The sequence below is a fragment of the Homo sapiens genome, chromosome 18, assembly GCF_000001405.40.
Source record: "Homo sapiens chromosome 18, GRCh38.p14 Primary Assembly".
NCBI lineage: Eukaryota > Metazoa > Chordata > Mammalia > Primates > Hominidae > Homo > Homo sapiens.
Genome location: NC_000018.10, coordinates 58,921,601 through 58,942,835, shown reverse-complemented (window position 1 = coordinate 58,942,835; position 21,235 = coordinate 58,921,601). Strand labels below are relative to the sequence as shown.

Sequence of the window (21,235 nt, the reverse complement as noted above, 5' to 3'; positions counted from 1 at the left end):
CACCTGTTAAACAAATACTGCTGGGGAATTTCACTGCCTGAGCTGGGACTATTTAGTCATTTTGGACTTATGTAAACAGAATAGAGATGGATTTAATGCCAAAAGAAACCTTTGGGTCAAATGTAGGCCAAACAGCCACAGGATGAAAGCTTTTACCTTAGTTTTAATTGGAAAAGGGGGTGAGGGAGGGTTATCTCCGGGAACACTGCAGTACAGGCCTACTGGGCCCAACAGAGCTGGTGCAGCAGCCGTCATTGCCACAGTCAGGCTGCGGGTGAGGGCTCCAGGCAGCCAGACCAGCCCTCACACTGAATCCATGCGATTAACTTATCTTTCACTGGCTTTGGAGTTTTGTTAACCACTTCTTCTACAAATTTGTTTCATTTTTATAATTTAAAATACAGTACCTATTTTTAGGCTTGCACTTAGGAAGGAAGGAAGGAAGGAAGGAAGGAAGGAAGGAAGGAAGGAAGGAAGGAAGGAAGGGAGGGAGGGAGGGAGGGAGGGAGGGAGGGGCCAGGCGCGGTGGCTCACGCCTGTAATCCCAGCACTTTGGGAGGCCAAGGTGGGCGGATCACGAGGTCAGGAGTTCGAGACCATCCTGGCTAACACGGTGAAACCCCATCTCTACTAAAAATACAAAAAATTAGCCAGGCGTGGTGGTGGGCGCCTGTAGTCCCAGCTACTCAGGAGGCTGAGGCAGGAGAATGGCTTGAACTCGGGAGGTGGAGCTTGCAGTGAGCTGAGATCGTGCCACTGCACTCCAGCCTGGGCGACACAGCGAGACTGAGGGGGGGGCGGGGGTAGAAAAAAAGAAAAGAAAAGAAAGAAGGAAGGAAGGAAGGGAAGGAGGGAAGGAGGGAGGGAGGGAGAGAGGGAGGGAGGAAAGGAAAGAAGAAAAGAGAAAAGGAAGGAAGGAGGGAAGGAAGGAAGGAAGGAAAAGGAAGGAAGAAAGATGGAAAGAAAGAAAAGAAAGAAAGAGGAAGGGAGGTGAGGGGAAGAGAGAAAAGAAAAAAGAAAAGAAACAAAGAAAAGAGAAAAGAAAAAAAGAAGAAAAAAGAAAAGAAAAGAAAATACTGGGGCTGGGTGCAGTGGCTCGCACCTGCAATCCCAGCACTTTGAGAGGACTGCTTGAGCCCAAGAATTCAAGACAAGCCTTGGCAACACGGCAAAATCCCATCTTTACAGAAAACTTAAAAATCAGCCAGGCGTGGTGGTATGCGTGTGCACCTGTGGTCCCAGCTACTAGAAAGGCTGAGGCAGGAGGATCACCTGAGCCCAGGAGGTCAAGGCTGCAGTGAGGTGTGATCACACTCCAGTTTGGATCAGAATGAGACTCTGTCTCATAAAAAAAAAAAAAAAAAAAAGAGAGAGAGAGAAAAGAAACCACTGGAATAATTGTTTTCTATACAATACCCAAATTTGAAGAAAACTGTTTTAGCCTATTTTAATCATTTGCTTCCTTACATTCTGAGGTAACAACTACTGTTCCAGATGTCACACACATTTCTGACAATCAAATTTTATTTATTTTAATAAAGAACCAAATAAAAACTGTATTCATCCCAGGGGGAAAGGCTACATTAGTACCCACAAGTCTAACAGTCCTGAAAACTGAAGACACTAAAATTCACTAATCCCCATCTTCAGAGTCAAGACATCAAGACATGTATGGATTCCTTAATTTGTAATGTGTTTCATTTTGGGATCAACCTACAAAGATCAGAATGAAGGTCCTACTAAAATAAAATTTAACTTCAACATGTTTTTTTTTTTGATAAAACAGTCACTTCTGTAGTATTCAATCACATTTCCCCAAAACTAAATGTTTCAACAAAAGCCAGGAGAGAGAGAGAGAGAGAGAGAGAGAGAAAGAGTGTGTGTGTGTGTGTGTGTGTGTGTGTGTGTGTGTAAAATATGGCATAGCTGTGTATCTTCCCCCTAATACTTCCTTAATTATGGAGTTATGGGCAAAAACACAGCAACAGATTTGGACAGCAAATCTAGCTTCTTGTAATGATCAAACTCTATGTTGCGATAACTAATCCAGGAATAAAAGGAGCACAACCAGGAGCATTAATCCAGTGCTGTGTGCACAAGGAGGGAGCGAAGACACACAGGAAGGAACTAATGCTGACAGAGCCCTCCATGCTCCAGACACAGGCACTGTTGTGCTACACATTTTAAATACATCATCTCATCTCATCCTCACTTAAGCAGGACCCTCACTTCATGGGGGAGAAGATGGCCGCTGAGACAGTGCAGGTCCCAGGTCACCCAGCCGGTGGGTGGCAGGATTCCGACCGGCTCCAGTGCCCACACTCCCTCCTCTTTGTTAAGCTGCCCCTACTGCAGGCAGGCAGCCCCTTTTTGCTAAAGAACCGCTTCATTATTAAAGACTCCACAAAGCAAAAATCAATCAAATTAAGAGCAAGATTAAGGCAAAAAAAAATTTACTAATCAGGGACTTATACTGGCTATGAAGTTAAATTCAGTAACCAGTGTCTTAAGTTGCCTTCATCTTAAAAATATTACTTTTTAAGCAAAAGTGTACCCTATAAAAAAGGAACTATGGAAAAATTTAAAGATGACAGGGTTTCTAAAAAATAGTTTTCCTAGGAGTTGTCAAAAATCATCTTAAGAGGCTGGGTGCCGTGGCTCACGCCTGTAATCCTAGCACTTTGGGAGGCCAAGGCAGGTGGATCACGAGGTCAGGAGATCGACACCATCCTGGCTAACACCTTGAAACCCCATCTCTATTAACAATACAAAAAATTAGCCAGGAGTGGTGGCATGCACCTGTAGTCCCAGCTACTCAGGAGGCTGAAGCAGGAGAATCGCTTGAACCCAGGAGACGGAGGTTGCAGTGAGCCAAGATCGCACCACTGCACTCTAGCCTGGGCGACAGAGCGAGACTCTTGTCTCAAAAAAAAAAAAAAATTCATCTTAAGAAAAAAATATAAATATTTACTTGTTGAGCAAAAATTCGTGACAAGAGCATAAATAATAGGTAACGTTTTTGGACAAGGTCTTTACCTGGAAAGAACAGAAAGATTTGGATGAGCTATGAGCTGTATTTCATAAAGCATCAAAATTGGCATAGCTGCATAATTTTTCAGATCTTGGTAAATGTTATTCAATAGAACGACTACTACCTTGCTTCTAAATTGCTAATAAAGCAGTGGAGTAAAACTTGAAAGTCGGTATGACTTACTTTGGTTCTCCTATCTTGATGCCAGGATGCTGTGTGTAGGCGTGGGAATGTGTGCTTGGGGCAGACTTAAACGCCATTGGACAAATAGGACACTTGTAGAAGACTTCACAGTGAGAACCTTGAATGTGAGACTTCAGAGCAGCCACATCAGAGTACACAACATTGCAATGCACACATCTGTTAGAAAAATAAACACACGGTCATTAGCACAAGACCATAACACACGTGTAACTGCAAAAACTGGGTGAGATGAACACACTTTCATAGCCCTTTTAGGTTTTTAATGGCCCTTCGGAAGTATATTTTAGTTTTTTTCCTATTATAAATCAACTTAATTGTTTATGGGTTTTTTTTTTTTTTTTTTTTTTTTTTTTTGAGACAACGTCTCGCTCTGTCGCCCAGGCTGGAGTGCAGTGGTGTGATCCCGGCTCATTGCAACCTCCACCTCCCAGGTTCAAGCAATTCTCGTGCCTCAGCCTCCCAAGTAGCTGGGATTACAGGTGTGTACCACCATGCCCAATTACTTTTTGTATTTTTAGTAGAGATGGGGTTTCGCCATGTTGGCCAAGCTGGTCTCAAACTCCTAGCCTCAAGTGATTCGCCCACCTCAGCTTCCCAAAATGCTGGGATTATAGGTGTAAACCACCATGCCCAGCCTATTTTTATATGTTTAAGAGAAAAGATCATGAAGAAGAAAAATAAAACTCAAATGGTCTATTTTTGGAGCATCTTTAACATTTTTAAGAATGGATGTCAAATCTCCAGACCACTGTTTTTGGAGAGGTTACATATGCTGGATTCTGGCACCAGGGCCCTGAGTTTCCTACCCATCTCCAGGACCCAAATAGCATTTCTAATGGAAGAAATCTTCAGTGTCTAAACCTGCATGCCAAGAACAGAGGGGCAGAGAGGAACAAAGAAGTTCTGGCTCCAAGGCCTCGGCCCACTGTTTCCTGGTACACACTGATGTGGTCAATGTATGTGGGGTTCATGGTGGTCCACAGGATAGAGAAGGTCAACCACCTAGGTGTTTTGTCTCCTAGAAAATAAATTTAAGTACACTTGCATTTGTTTAAGAAATTGCATGAATTACAAACCTCTGAAAATTCAGCATCTCTAAAAAAAATTGTCTAGCTAACCTCCTTACTTTATGAATTTCTAGTAATCTCACAATTAGCTCATTCCCTGCTCAAATATAATCCAACAAAGACAAACTTTAAATCTAAGATACATTTCTCCTCTATCTCATCTTTTTCACACAAAGACTCTAAGCAACACTTACACCTCCACTTGATGACCAAGTCTTCCTTGTTCACACCTGAAAACTATTTAAGAGTGGTCTCTCTGCAGGTACAAAAGTCTCCAGAAATTTACCTCTAATACAACTGAACATATGTGCTCCCAGATGTGAGCTACCCAGGGAAGGAAGACTGCAGACAGGGCCTGGTTTCCGGGGGGCAGTGTCCAAAGACTTCTATGACAATCTAAGATGCTTCTATTCTTAGAACCTCCCTTCTGAATCATGGAGATGCTTCCGAAGTTACACAGGAGTGGCATGTTCTGGATTGTATGCATTCTATTTAAGCTTTGCAAGCATTCTGTTAAAATCATAACTAACGCATTAGCATTTCCAGTGACTGAAGGCATTATGTTCAGCAACAGCTATGTTTAAACACTAAATAACAATAGAGAATAAAAGGACAGCCTCTCTAGCCTATCTACTTGAACTGGTATTTCAGGCAATAGAGCCACCTAAGCATATTGAAACTATTTTGGGTTAACTTACTGAGTTGTCTTGAACAGGTTAATGCTCCTCTCTGGGCCAGTTACTCATTTGTAAAATGAGAAGAATTAAAATAGATCATTTTTAGCTCTTCCCAAACCTAGAAGCCTACAACTCCCATGAAAGAGGAAGATTATGTAAAACAAAAGTAGATGGGTAATTAATGAAACTGAAGGACCTACCACACCATAAACTATAAACAGAAGATTTTCCCATGAAGGATAGAAAGATGGTGTTTAAAGAGCAAAAGAACCAGGAAGGACAAAAAGGAATACAGAGAAAAGCAATAATTACCTAAAGTCACTTGGAGTGAGAGGAAGGTTTAATGTACAGCAAATAAAAAGGAAGTATCTAAAATAAAGATGGAATTTTTTGAAGCAAGAGGAAGTGGCTATGACTCAATCCAGAGAACACCATGGAGACCAAGGGAAACCCTCCTTAATGTAAGAAACGAAAGCAGGGTATTTTAAAAAGTCATAAAACATCTGCTTACAGGAAGAAGAGGCATTTCAGGGGGCAACAGAGGCCAATGGGGGATGTAAATAAGACAAAGAAAGGCAGACTTCAAACGGCTCATGCAGTATCTTAATGCTATGAAAAATCCTGTCTACTAAGAAATACGTAATATCCTGAAGTCCTATTCTGGATAGCAATAAAGTTTCTTTATTTTTTGAATTAAAAAAAATATTTACAGTATAAAATCCTATAACCATTCCCCTTTCTAGATATACAGTCCAGTGTATCAAGAGGCAGGAAAATTCAGAAAAAATATTTGACTTTTATCAATATATAACTTTTACCAAGTTAACCAGGAGCCAGGGATGACCCATCAGTATTTGGGAGATGTAATATGAGCAAGAGGAGAGACAGCAAGGCACACTGCACCAAGACGAGACAAAGTAAGGCGTGGGAACCATGCTGCTACATTAGACTCATCTGGCTAAAGAAAAGACACATTGAAAATGAGTAACTATAGAGCCAAAGGGAGCAAAAAACATGACAAGGCCACGGGGCTACTAAGCCCCACTTAAACATGAACCTGGACCCTCATATGAAGCAGCAGAGGAAAAGAATTACGTTTAAAATTGCTCCTCTCTTCTAAAGGAGCAGTCAACATGAACTAAACTTCACAACACATCGTTGTTTACCAGCCCCATATAGCCTCAAGTCCAGGGAGAAAAAAATCTACACTTAACACAAAATTTTTGGTTAACAACTTGAAATCTACAATTTGAAATACCGAATTTGAACAACTCTGTGAGTAGGGCAAAAGAACAGAAGAGCAAGGATGGTCTTTTCCCAAGTGAGTTGATTACTTTCAGCCTGCATGTGGAGCTTCTGTTTTAATTTAGGAAAGATATCAGCAATAGCTAAAATTGAAGAAGTCATATTTCCTTTAATCATATCAACTTTCATTCTATTAGAAAAACTAAACATTTGAGAAAAATTTGACATTAGTGCAAAGAAGAGCACTTGGGAAGTGCTGCAGAGCTGCTTTCTATTATTAAACACATAATCCATTAATAATAGTTTCAAAACGTGATGGCAAGAACGAAAGTATTATTCTGCATGGACTTTGCAGATCTGGGGCACCTTTGATTATCCTGTTTTGCTCAGTAACATCCCAGTGGAGCTGGAGGCAGACAATGCACCAATTTTACTGACAGAGGCACCATGGCACAGAAAGAATACGTGAATTACCACATAATTAGTTACTGGCAGAAGTCGTACAAGAAAACTGGTTTCTTGATTTCCAAGCCAAAGGTTTCCACCAGGCTAGATCTCAATCCATAAAACATTTGTGCATTACAAGTTTGGAGGCATGAGATAAAATGTGAAGTTAAGTCTCATAGCTTAGTGTTGTTTAATGCAAAACTGGGCAGAACCACCTAGGAACTGATGATACCAGAACCTAAACTTAAATAAAACCATCAAATCATGCCAACTGGACTTCATTTTTATTCAACATAATTTATTACAGGTGAAAAAAAAAATCACTGCATATTAACAATCTAACAAAGTTACCAGGTAAGCAAATACTTAATGTTAAGATAAACATATAATACAGTAATACCTCTATTAACAAAGACACTGTGTATCAGTGACATGTTTTCCTTGGTGGAATCTTCTTAGTGAAAATATAAAAGGCACAGGAAGGTCATAAGATGGAGAGAAAAGTTCATATATATAATCATTCAACACTAGCTAACATTAGATTTGCCAGATGTTGTACAATGCACATCTGAGAATCCTGAGGGACAGTAAAAGGGACTACAGTGAAGATATGCAGAAGAGACAAGGGAGGAATGAGAGAACTCGAAGGGGGAGAGGGAGGAGGAGGAAGGGGGGAAGAGGGGGGAGAAGGGAGAAGGAGGAAATGGGGAGGAGGGAGAAGGGGAGAGGGAGGAGGAGTGGGGGAGGAGGGAGAGGGGGGAGGAGGGAGAGGGGAGAGGAGGGAGAGGGGAGAGGAGGGAGAGGGAGAGGAGGGAGAGGGGAGAGGAGGGAGAGGGAGGAGGAAGGGAGGAGGAGTAAGGGGGAGGAGGGAGAGGGAAGGAGAAGGGGAGAGAAGGGAGGGGGAGAGGGAGGAGGAGAAAGGGAGGAGGGAGAGAAGGAGAGGGGAGGAGAAGGAGAGGGGAGGAGGAGGAGAGGGGAGGAGGAGGAGTGGGGAGGAGGAGGAGTGGGGAGGAGGAGGAGTGGGGAGGAGGAGGAGTGGGGAGGAGGAGGAGTGGGGAGGAGGAGGAGTGGGGAGGAGGAGAAGGTTATTTGGAGTGCAAGGCTGGAACATACACCCCATCTTTCAATGTGGACCAAATAAAAGTAAAAGACCATCGCACTATTTCTGTTTTCATTAGAGAAGGGGAAATATTAAGAGGTGCGGAATGTATAGTTTTCTTGCAGGGGTTAAAATGCAAAGAGTATGATAACAAAAGTCTGCTACAAAGGGTACAGTCAAAGCTGACAGTCAAAGCCACACCTGCACACATGCAAGAGTGTGCCTAAAAGGACAGGCCCCATGACCCTCCACTTTGTGCGGACCAGCAGGGCCAATATTACATTAAGAGGATTCAAACAGATGGACTCTACAAACGAGCTAGGTTCCCAGAGGATCTGTTAATCGAGGTATCACCGTATGACCCAGAAAACTGTGTGTGCAAACCACTCAAAATGCTGTGCGGTTGTAAGTGAACGAGTTTTACTTGCACATAAGTGAATGATATACTGACCGAAAACCAACTCTCCTCGTGTAGTGCAGACAGTTCTTGGTGACGTGGGTCTGGAAGTGCACCGACCTGCAGATGGCCCCACACTCAGGGCAGGTGTAGGGAGATTTGTGCTGATGGATTCTCTGGTGTGATGCATAACTGCACTGGTTAGGAAGCAGCATCTGGCAGATAGTGCAAGTCTTCTAAACAAACCAAAGGGGGAAACAGGGTTGGTCCTACTAAGTACTTTCTAATATGCAAAGAACCTTGGTTAAACCTCCAGATAATTATACATCCTTCATTTCAAACACTACAGTAATTGATTCTAAGCCCAAGGGAAAAGCCAACTTGAAAGTTACATGTCCAGCGTACAATTCTCTATCCTGTAAAATCACAGTATGTGCTATCTAGTCAGGCTCGTCTCAAAGTATGAGCTAAAAACACCTGTTTCAGCAGAGTTCCAATTCCATTACTTTTGCATTTTGCTTAGGGCAAAGAGGTATTCTTACAAATTTATGTGAGCAAAAGACTTTAATATATAGTAACAAGTTTATAGGCATACACATCTTGACAGTAGTCACAGTCCTCACAATTCATAAAAAGCTTTCTCCAAAATAATAAAAATTAATTAGAAGCTAATCCAATTGTTCACCAACCAGTTATTTGAAATCTGAAATACAGGAGTGCAAAAGAATGGCTACAGCAATTATTTGTTCTTTTTGCACTAAAATTGGCCTTTAAATGGATGATCTGGCCATGATATAATTTATAATTAAAACCAAGGAACTCAAGTTCAAGTATACAAATTTAGACATTAAATTAAAATTTTATAGAGCTTAAAATCTGATTATGTATAAAATAAAATTAAGGGTGAAATCCTCTTTGGAAAAGGCTCTATATCAGTAACTATCCAGGAAAACCCAAAACACTGTTTTTCATCCTCTTAAGATATAGGCACTAAACATGGTATATTTTTAAAAACACAAAACCAAAAAAACTTAAAGTAAACATAAACTGAGGACTTATTACTTCCACCCCAAAAATAAACCTCACATAGCATATGACATAAACTGTGTTTAAATACTTTCAGACATTCGTGCAAACACAAATTATCTACCATCTTCTAAAATGTACAATTTGTATTAAAGCCAAAGAAAGTCTCAAAATATAGATTCTTGCTAAGATTTAAAGCATTTGTTTATATTGACAACAGTTAAGAAATTTTAAAAAGACTTTTTTTATTCTTCTTGTTTTTGAAGCACGCCCAAAAATTAAGGTTTAAACTTCCGAGTGACTTAGACTAAGAAAAATAGGAAACTCACTTGAAAATTCTTTCTTGATTTTCTCCTGAAAGGACTAAAATACAAATTTTATCCCAAAAAATGTTTATTATAATCACAAAATAAGAACATTACAGGTAGCTTTAATGAAGTTAGCATCATTAAAAAAATAGCACCCCTTTTCTCATAACACATATTTCAAAGGTTAGAACAAGCCACAGCAAGGAAAACCAGTCAACAGATTCATTAATAACAGATCCTGTTAACATCTACATTACCACAGGTAACCATTTGTTTCTGTGAACTAAAGTCTTCTATCTACCTTCACACAGTCCCAGGCAGGGAATTATGATGTCTGAACTTCCACAGGCATCTTAAAATGTCTTGCACTTACTTGGGAATAAAGTTAGCATTTTCTATACTAAAAGAAGTCAAAAAACATTTATATATATATATACACACACACATTTATATACATACATACATATATACATACACACGTACATGCATGTGTGTGTATATACATATTATATTAAAATATATAGATTGGTCCCATCCTACCATGAGTCAAATGGTAAGCTAGGTATTTTAAATACATTAAGTAAATTGAAGTACATCATCTCATTTAATTCTCATAACCTATGAAGCAGATAACATCTCCACTTTACAGATAAGGAAACGAAGGCTCAGTAAAGTTAAGAAACTCGCCCAAGGCTCCATACCTATTAAGTGGAAGAACCAGGATTTGAACTGGAATCGAGGAGTGGGGTGGGGATATAATGAATGAATAAACAAAAACACACAGGGAAAACCATTAGCAAATATACCTGAATGCCAACAATGACCACGGCATGTCAGAGTAGAGGTGAGTCCCCTCCCCTGCTGCTTCTCTTTTATCTAAAGTAATGTGATTGCACTACTTTAGAACGGTAGAAAATGGAAAGAAAATCTAAAAAGCAGACAGTGTTCCTGAAAAAAATTTGCACATTTTCATCAAGATATACTACAAATGGTTATCCTTCACAATACATATAAGATGCACAAGGAATTACTTAAATTCATTGGAATGTATCATCATCATGTCTCCCCACCCCAACTGTAGGACTCTGCACTCACTCGTTCCCATCAGCTGAGGCTCCTCACCCACTTTCGATACAGAAGCACAAGGAGAAAGAGGGAGGCATAGGGACTACAGCCTCAAATCAAAATGCTTTCATACTTTGCAATTCCTGAAGTGGGAGAAAATGGTCACTGGGGAATCACGCTGGACACTAGAGACCTTGCCTTTAGTTTCTGTAGATGCATGCATATCCACGTACAGACACTTAGTTACTCCCACATTTCTATCTTTATTCACCTGCCTCCTCTACTCCTTGACTCCATTTGGTTTGGGTTTTTTATTATTGTTGTTGTTTTGAGATAGTGTCTCACTTTGTTGCCCAGGCTGGAGTACAGTGGCGTGATCACAGCTCACTGCAGACTCCACCTCCTGGCCTCAAGCAATCCTCACTCCTCAGCCTCCCCAATAACTGAGACCACAGGCACACGCCACCACACTCAGCCAATGTTCTTTTTTTTTTTTGTACAGACAGGGTCTCACCATATTGTCAAGGCTGCTCTCAAACTCCTGGCCTCAAGCCATCCTCCTGCCTTGGCCTCTCAAAGTGCTGGGACTACAGGTGTGAGCCACCGTGCTGGCTCCATTCCATTCTGAGAAAAAAAACACGCTGTTTTGGTTGGAGACATCCTCCTCCTTGATGCTTGCATGGTATCAATAGTTTTAAACTCACATGACATCATTTGCTTAGCTGTACTCCCTCAAGTTGTATTCACTGTTCCTGTTACAGAAAACTTGTCATCCCCTGTTTCCCATGATAGTGGTGATGCATTTTCACAGCACAAAGGAGTATCTTCCATTAGCTTTTCTAATGCTTTGAATTCATGAAAATAATGAACATCCTCTGGGTTTGGGGGATGTATTTGAGCATGAGGGCACACAAGGATCTCTTTGTGGCCTGTAATGACTGACTTTCCTTACTTTTTTTAATCAAGTAAATTAAAATATATCTTAAAATTCTAACACTCTACTACACAAGCTGAAGCTACTTAGTAGAGGATAAAGCAGTTTAATGTGACAGTAACTGCCTTTTCAATAGAAAAAAGCATAATAAAGGGCACCTAAGTGGTTTTATGTGTGTCTTGACATTTTACTTATGTCATCTAAAAATGGATAAATGTTTTCGGTACTTAGGTAATAAAGTTAATTTCTATTCTAGGGCAGCCTTATTTGCTCGGTTAAACTGTTACTTTTTAAAGTAAACATTACTTTTCAATAGGTAATACTAGAAAGCTATAGGAAAATAAAGCCGAAAAGTACCCACATTCCACGCTTTGCAATTACAATCAACTCTCTGTATCCTGAGGTTCTGCATCTATGTATTCAATCAACCACAGATCAAAAATATTTGGGAAAAAAATAAAAAATAACAATACAACAATAAAAAATCCAGTATAACAACTATTTATATTTACACTATTAGGTATTATAAGTAATCTTGAGATGATTTAAAGGACACAGGCAGGTTATATGCTTAGGTTATATGCAAATACTATGCCATTTTATAACAGGGGCTTGAGCATTCTCAGATGTTGGTATCTGAAGGGGGTCCTAGAACCAACACCTGAGGAAACTAAAAGATGACTGTACTTTTTTTTTTTTTTTTTTTTTGAGATGGAGTCTCACTCTGTTGCCCAGACTGGAGTGTAACAGCATAATCTCAGCTCACTGCAACCTCTGCCTCCCAGGTTCAAGCAATTCTCCTGCCTCAGCCTCCCAAGTAGCTGGGACTGCAGGCACGCACCGCCATGCCTGGCTAATTTTTTTGTATTTTAGTAGAGACAGGGTTTCACTATGTTGCCCAGGCTGGTCTCGAACTCCTGAGCTCAGGCAATCCGCCCACTTTGGCCTCCCAAAGTGCTAGGATTAGAGGCGTGAGCCACTGCGCCCGGTACTCTTACTGAGCCTTTTCTATCCAATCCTGTCACTGAAATTGATCAATAGCATGCAAATGCAGGCTACAGGGAAGGGGGAACCAGGTACATTCTGGCCAGTTAAGGAATCAGAGAGTGTTCAAGCTTGACATCCTCTTTCTATAGATGAGGAATTAGCTGAGTAATAAGAAAAATAATTCTACGTGTTTTTGCTCATATTTTAGGCAGAAAAGTAGCCTGGGAGAGGTACATGAGAGTGAGAGAGGCTAGAGAAACGTATGGCTGTATATTTATGTTTAAATTTCAAACAGACCAAAAGCCTACACCAACATGAAACATTGGAGCTAAAGGCAGAAACAATACCAGCTTAACAGTCAGCCCAGATGCTAAGCAAATTACTCTCACCTCATTAAAAGAAGTTCCACAATCTTCTGCCTAAAGTATAATTATACAAAAATAATAAAGTATACCAGTTTGTTTTGTGGCTTTCACTTTTGTCCAATTTCACACTGAGAACACAAAGAAAGCATTTCATTTCAGATCTCACTTAAATGGAAGTCATACCAAGCAAATACAGCAGAAATGGCTTTATATGCCTTTTGCTCACAGAGCTAGTTGGTTGTGCTGGTTTTGTCCTCAAATCATTCTGCTACGCAAAAAAATCCCTAATAAGAGTTGACAGTTAAATGAACAAATTTACAGAAAGCTATATGGCCAACACATATCATCTACTTACATGCTTATTACTGAAGAATACGGGTAAACTGAAGGTTGGTAACACTAAAATATAAACTAGGACAGGACTAGTCTTGACCAAAATTTAAATTAAACACTTAGAAGAGCAGGACCAAAAGCCAAGGGTCACAAGTCTTCAGCTAATAAGGGTATTTTGGGAGACGGCGGAGGGGAGGAATTCAGATGAGCTCCCTGGTTTCCAGAGGAAGCTGTCTGAGCAGAGCGGGATCTAGAAATGAGAACCAGCAGAGGCTGCTCACGAGAATACAGTTAGTATGTTGTATTAACGATGCCCAGAAAGTTCCTGAAACTAAAGTGAACCAGCAATCCCCAAAAATGAGGACCACTGCAAATGTCACCTTTATCCACACTCTTGAAGGTGACTCGGAAGTAACCCCAAGAATCCATCCTTATGTGATTCCTAAGGTCCCTCCGGCTGTAAGAGCCTATGCTTCAACATCTTAGAGAAGCAGAAAGAATGAACCAGCAATACAGAAATTTTGCCTTGAGTCCCAGCTCTGCCACCAATTGGGCATTTGTTTTTTCAATTGTAAAATAAAAGGGCTGGCCAAAAGACCTATAGCATTCTGTGATTCTACAGCTGATATAAATGCCACAAGAAGAAAACAGGTTTTTAAAATTAAGGGGTTACAGAAAGCATTTCCAGTCTGTAGTTGGTTAAATTTAGACATGGTTTTAAGAGGAGGTGAAGCAATGACATCCCAACACATTAAAATATCAATTATTCAAACGACAGTCCTCAGCTCTTAAATACTTCATGGAGAAAAGGAAAGCTCCTCTGGTCTCTTGCCCACTCCCTTTTCTCAACGTAACCCAAAGCAGAGATTATTAAGCAGATAGATCAGAATACAAACCCCTAACTGGGGCAGATTTAATGGCTAAAGAGTCAACTGCTCAGAACTGTTTTTATTTACTGCTTGATTCCATGCTCCCTGGAAGGTAGTGATCCCCACAAGGTCCTCAGTCCTCTAGGCTCTCTCCCTCTGCCACTGTCTCCTCCAAGGGGTAAGCAGATGCACGCAGGCAGTCTAACCTCAGCCTAGCAGGCTTTCGGTTCCTGGCCCAGATCGTGTACCAGAGTGTGATCAAATCCCAAGACAGCTTTGGGAATGTATGGCAGAGAGCCTCGAGCTAAAACCATATATTCCAACACAGCTCTTACCAGAGACCTGCTCTTGGGGGTCACTGAGCATAGACCAGTTCATAAGGAAGTGGTGCTTCTGAGTCTCTCTGGCAATTGTTACTTCTGCATAGATTGTCTACAGAACACTTGGAGGGGCAGCAGCAACTGGCAGAGAGAATGCACCAAATGCCACCCAAACCTTCCTTTAACCCATGGCATACTGGCAGTCTCAGAAGGCTAAAGGCATGCGTAAGGGGAGGTGGTGAGAGGCGTGGGAGGAACAGCCCCAGCTGGTGCTCACAGGCAGACAGACCCTCTGCTGGGTGCAGAGAAGCACCCTGGGGAAACTGAGACAGGCTCTGTTCAAAACATAAACAGAGGTCAAAATAGAAAATGATAACAAGGGAAAAATAAAATATAAAAAGAAAGATAAAAAAGGGGATAGTGACTGAGCTAAATCAAGAAAAGTACGTTCTTAAGGTCTTAAAAGAGGCTCAGCCCACCAGATGTGAAAGGTAAAAGACGCAATTCTCACTCCTAACTGCTTTTAAAGACGGGGCTAAGAAAGGAAGTTTACACTGGGTGGAGAAAATGTCTTCCATTCAGAGACAACAGAAATCCCAGGAAGTCAAATGGAAAGTGACCCTCCCAGGAAGCCTAATTGCAAAAACAGAGATTGGGGTCTGAAAGTCTCCGGCAGAGCACAATAATGCAATTACACAATCTCTCCTTGAAGACAGGACAGGTATATTAGGATCTTTTTTAAACATGGAGTAAAACGTCCACTTTGAGGAAAATGGAATAAGAGTAACTTTCCCTATTCTTCCCATTAAGTACAAGTCAAAACCCTGAACATTATATATAAAACAAACATAAAAGGACTCTGAAAGGTGGAGTGAAAGGTTAGCTAGGGATCTCAAGACCCTAGGAATGACAGGGTAGTCAGTTCCCTGGGTTTCTCTTCGCCTCATATATCCCAGATTTGGAGCTGAAGAAGCTAGCAACCCAAAATGCCAATGGGTAGAGACAAAAAAAAATTCCCAAGAAAAGCCTGTGCTCTGTAGCCGACCACCAAGAAACGAGTGCCTAGGAAAACAGAAAACTTTTAAAGGAACACTGTCTACTCCAGCCAAATCCCACAGAAAACACTACGGCCCCACCCCAACCTGTGCAAAGTAGAGGTGCAGCCAAGACTTCAGCCCTCTTGAGACTGTAATGAGCTGTCTGTCCCAACGTCCCTACCCAGATGGTGGGTGTCAGAGAAGCCCAGTAGCAAAGGTAAATTTTGATCTCTGCCAATTCCCCCACCACCAGCCCAACAGGTATTTTTTTAAACCCTAGAAAAGAAATCTCTAGGCCCAGATGGTTTCATTGGAGAATTCTACCAAAGAAAAACTAACACCAATTATACACACTCTCTTCCAGAAAAATTGAAGGAGGGAATACTTCTCAATTCTTTAAAAAGTGAGTATCAACCTATCTCAAACCAAACAAGAACAGAACAAAAAAGGATATCTACATGCATATAGATGCAAAACTCCTTAACAAAATAGCAGCAATTATAATTCAAAACATATAAAAAGAAATATGCAGCTTGACCAAGTGGGATTCATTCCAGAAATGCAAGGCTATTTTGATATCTGAAAAATCAGTATAATCTATCCAAAAAAAAGCCCTGAAACCAATAACTGAGTTCAACAGAGTCAAAGGATACACAAAAAATATATAAAAATTATTAGTGATGAACGTGTCCTCACCAAAAATATATACCACTTATGATTGTTTGAAAAAAGAAATCTAACAAAACATGCACAGGACTTATATGATGAAAACTACAAGGCCGGGTACAGTGGCTCACGCCTATAATCCCAGCACTTTGGGAGGCTGAGGCAGGCGGATCACCTGAGCTCAGGAGTTCGAGACCAGCCTGACCAACATGGAGAAACCCCATCTCAACCCTGTCTCTACTAAAAATATAAAATTAGCCGGGCATGGTGGCGCATGCCTGTAATCCCAGCTACTCGGGAGGCTAAGGCAGGAGAATCTCTTGAACCCAGGAGATGGAGGTTGCCGTGACCTGAGATCGCGCCATTGCACTCCAGCCTGGGCAACAAGAGCGAAACGCCATCTCAAAACAAAAAGAAAAGAAAACTACAAAACAAAGAATCAAAGATATAAATAAATGAAGAATCATTTATCGGCCTTTTGGCTAAGAACAAGTGTAGTATCTGTTCTTATCAGTATAAATAAATGATGAATCTATGCCCATGTTCATGGACTGAAACGCTCAATATAGTAAAGATGTCAATTCTCCCCCAAACTGATATGCAGGTTTAATGCAATTCCTATCAAAATCCCAGCAAGTTGTTTTACAGAAACACACAACATTATTCTAAAATTTATATGAAAAGGCAAAAGAACTAGATGAGTGAAAACAATTTTGGAAAAGAAAAATAAATTGGAAGCATCCATCTACCAGACTTGAAGACTACCTAATTACAGTACTCAGACTGTAGATACTGGTAGAGGGACAGACACACAGATCAATGGAACAGAATAAAGAATCCAGAAATAGCCCCACACAAATGCCTAACTGATACTTGACAAAGGGGCAAAAGCAGTTCATTGGAGGATGACAGCATCTTCAACAAATGGCCAAGTATTGGGGGAAAAAATGACCCTCCACCTAAATCTCACACCTGATACAAACATCAACTCAAAATGAGTCACAGACTTAAATGTAAATCACAGAATTATAAAACGTTGAGGAAAAAAACACAGAAGAAAATGTTTAGGATCTAGAGCTATGCCTTAGACTTGACACCAAAAGCAGAGGTCATAAGATGGAAAACTGATATACTTGACTTCACGAAAATTACAAACTTTTGCTCTGCTAAAGAAGAGGATGAAAAGACAAGCTATAGACTGGGCGAAAACACTTGCAGCCACATAGCCAACAAAAGACTAGTATCTAGGCTCTATCAAGAACTTGTGAAACCCAATTGATCTGTTGTAAAAGCAAACAACCTAATTAGAAATGGGCAAAAGATATGAAGAGACATTTCACCAAAAAGGAAAAACAGATGGCAAATTAAACCCATGAAAAGGTGTTCAACATCATTAGCCACTAGGGAAACATGAATTGAAACCACAATAAAATAATACCACACATCTATCAAAATGGCTAAAATAAAATATGGTAACAGCACCAAATGCTGGAGGATGCAGAGAAACTGGATCCCTCGTGTGTTGCTCCTGGGAATATAGAATGATACAGCCACTCTGAAAAACAGTTTAAGAGTCTAAACGTGCAAATACCATGTAAAACAGCAGTTATACTCTGATGATAAATAGGCATTTATCCCAGAGAAATAAAAACTTATGTCCACAAAAAAACCTATACACAATGTTAATAATAGCTTTATCCATCATAGCCCCCAACTGGATCCAATGCAGATGTCTTTCAACAAGTGAATGGTTAAATGAACTATAGTATAACCATACAATGGAATCTACTCAGCAATAAAAAGGAATATACTATTGATATACGCAACAACCAGGGAATTATGCTGAGTGAAAAAAAGCCAATCCTAAGGAGTTATACACTATATGATTCCATCTATGTAACATTCCTGAAATGAAAAAATTATAGAAATGAAAAACAGCTTAGTGGTTGCCAGGGGTTAAGGAGTGAGGAGAGGCTGTGGGTGGCTATAAATGAGCAATATGAGATCTTTGTAGTGCTGGAAAAGCTCTGTATCTTGACTGAGTCAACGCTCATGTCCCAGCTGTGATACTGTTCTATAGTTTTGTGAGATGTTACCATTGTGGGGAACTGGATGAAGGGTATACAAGTTCTCTCTGTATTATTTGTTACATGAATCTACAATTATCTCAAAAGAAAAAGGGAAGGAGGTCCCTCCGCTAATGAAGTCATACCTTTCTCCAGACCCAGTAAACCAAGGAGCTGAAAGGCACTGAGTAAAGGGCGATGGACCTGCCAGTCTAGCAAGGACCCCAGAGGCCATACCCTTTACACCTTCTGAACCATGAACAGTGGCAGCAAGGTTGGTTCAGGAATCCACTTCGGGTGATGAGACTAGACTAACTAGACACTAATGTGCAGACCCAGGGCATCCTGCCCCAGAGCCACAGGCACAGGCTTAAACTGCACTGGGTTCCTACCCCAGAAAGCACAGGTCAGGGTGTGAGCACCAGAAAAAAGTTACAGTGTAGACTGGTATACTCTTCCAATTCACCCATGAGCTACCAAGAATGTGGAGGTCAATGGGGAAATGGAGTTAAAGTGTTAAAATACATGGAATGCTAGCCGGGCGGGGGTGGATCACACCTATAATCCCAGCACTTTGGGAGGCCAAGGCGGGTGGATCACTTGAGGTTAGGAGTTCAAGACCAGCCCGGCCAACATGGTGAAACCCCGTCTCTACTAAAAATACAAAAATTAGCTGGATGCGGTGATGTGTGCCTGTAATCCCAGCTGCTCTGGAGGCTGAGGCAGGGGAATCACTTGAACCCAGGAGGCAGAGGTTGCCATGAGCCGAGATCATGCCACTGCACTCCAGCCTGGGCGACAGAGTGAGACTCCATCTCAAAAAAAAAAATATGGAATATGTTGTACAACAGAGGAAAGGAGGGGCTTGGCACAGTTGCCGGTACTTCAGGCTCCCGTGTCCATTTCTAGATTTGTAAGCAGTCATGTGTGTTTTAAGTGCCATCCTCAGACAGAAACCAAGTTCTGTGTAATTTTTTCCCATTCCAGTTGAACAAACTGTAAACTGGCCAACAGTCATGTGACTGGCAAACGAGAAGGATGAAACAAAGGCTATTTTCTCTTTTCTTTTCTCCCTGTCTTACTGCAGCCCCCACCTCCCACTCCCATGGCTGCTGGATAGCACCCCAGGCAACAGTAATGGTCGAGAACCCCCATGGCCACATGTGGAGGCTAGGATGGCAACAGCCACAGGCATCCTACTGAGCCCCTAGAACCAAGGAAGAGACTCCAGGTTGGGTTAAACCATGAATGCTGAAGACACAGCAGCTATTCCTACTGAGGCAGAAGCCACACTCCCCTCTTGGGTCTGAGTGACACAGTCTGGCTGAGTCTGGGAAAATGGGAAGCTGTGAAGAAGCATTCTAGATCCAGTGAGAAAGGGGAGACGAGGAACAGGAGGAGAGCGTGCTATGGGGCCTTTTCACACTGCTGGTCCTGCAGTGCTTGGCTATGCAGTGGGTTGAAGCTCACTACAAACCAACGCCCTTCGCTGGTGAGCTGAGTGGCCTACATAGGTGAGTGGATGGCTGCAAAACGGAAACAGATCAGGAGGTGAGTGTTTTGCTTGTGTGTATCTGGTCTGAGAGTTAAATATACATTCTGCCCTGATTCACTCCTTGGGATTCCGCGTCAAACGGGTGACCTGCGTACTCGTCCCAGCAAGATACAAAAGTGATGCCAAAGCAACCACACACAAAAGAAAAGATGTTCATCTCTCCTCCTGGGGACAGAGTTTCACCCGTTTCACCCTAGTTTGGCTGTTGAGCCTAAAAGGTTAATAAAGAACAAAAACTAGGGAAACGCAGGGAATAAGGACATTCCTACCCGCCTGCTCATGCCCTTCCTTGCTCTCAGAGAAGGAGGTCTCAGACAGACACATCTGAGGGTAGCTCCAAAGGCCAGATACAGAGCACACAGCTCATAGTGAGAACCCTCCTAAGCCAGGACACAGTCGACCGCTCTACACAGCCCACCAGCAGACACAGACACGAAGACAACAGAAATGAAGAAAGAGCTTTTTGGCTTTTTCCCCTTTTTTACTGCATCCTGTTAGGATGAAAAGAAATATTATCCTTTGATGAAGCGGTGTCAAGATGGGAGGACATCCATGTAGACAGAACCCAGGCATTGTCACCGGGCTAGGTTAACAGCTGGAGCCATCATAGCCTTCTTGAACTAAGTTGCTGCTTTCCTATTTTTTGAGCATTTTACTGCCAGAGCCAATGAAACATTTAACATTCAAACCTGCAAGAATGCTGTCAAAACTCTTTATTGCTTCCATTTCCACTGAACTGAAAAACCAGATAAAAAAATTACCGGGGTATTCTTGATCTTTTGTTCCCCAAACTGAAAATGCTACAAAGAACTTAAACCAGTAATTACCCTGAGGAACTAATCACCAAGATAGCACCAAACTTCTGAATTGCGGCATAAACATCCTAATTAATTAACAAAATATTGGAGGGAGAAAAAAAGGAAAGCCCAGTTTACTGTTAAATCTTTATAGAGATGTTTGAGGAGCAGAGTATATTAGCTCAAACTAGTGCTCCCTTTGAATTTCACAAGTTTTTTCCTTTTTTTTTTTGGAGACAGGGTCTTGCTCTGTCACCTGAGGCTGGAGTGCCGTGGTATGATCTCAGCTCACTGCAACCTCCACCTCTCAGGCTCAACTGATCTTCCCACCTCAGCCTCCCAAGTAGCTGGGACCAACAGCATGCACCACCAAGCCCGGCTAATGTTTGGTATTTTTGTTAGAGATGAGGTTTCACCATGTTGCCCAGGCTGGTCTCGAACTCCTGAGCTCAGGCAATTCACCTGTCTCGGCCTCCTAAAGTGCTGGGATTACAGGCATAAGCCACTGTGCCCAGTGAAATTTCACAAGCTTTCTAGTTTGGACAATATGTCACATGGTCTAACTCGAATTTATTTCATTCAACATGTCTAATTACTTCCAAATAATAGATTATATATTTATGATAAACACATTTATCTATTAGCTAAAAGTTGCCTCATGAAGTAGCAAATGATGGAGATAAAAGGCTGATTGATGCCCACTGTGAAATGTAATTCACCAACATTGACCTGCACTTCAC

The 21,235-nt window shown here is 41.4% G+C and overlaps 1 protein-coding gene and 1 pseudogene across 62 annotated transcripts in view; one reads left to right on the top strand and one right to left on the bottom strand.

Moving 5' to 3' along the window:
• The window catches only part of ZNF532 (zinc finger protein 532), a 123,557-nt gene that overhangs the window by 43,645 nt on the left and 58,677 nt on the right, over nt 1-21,235 (bottom strand). For 42 of the 62 annotated variants that reach the window (NR_148459.2, XM_047437584.1, XM_047437592.1 and 39 more), the window contains 2 exons: nt 8,222-8,403; nt 3,215-3,391 (listed from right to left, as the gene is read on the bottom strand). The exons of 13 other annotated variants lie outside the window; for them this stretch is intronic. Coding sequence is in view for 45 of the 49 variants with exons in the window: in XM_047437584.1 (XP_047293540.1) it covers nt 3,215-3,391; nt 8,222-8,403 (359 nt within the window). In the remaining 4 variants the exon portion in view is untranslated. Of the gene's footprint in view, nt 1-3,214; nt 3,392-8,221; nt 8,404-10,327; nt 10,450-11,080; nt 11,191-21,235 lie in introns of those variants that run through there. 7 more of the 62 variants (NM_001353533.2, NM_001375913.1, NM_001353534.2 and 4 more) reach the window with 3 other exon arrangements.
• On the top strand, nt 16,540-16,639 carry RNU2-69P (RNA, U2 small nuclear 69, pseudogene; annotated as a pseudogene).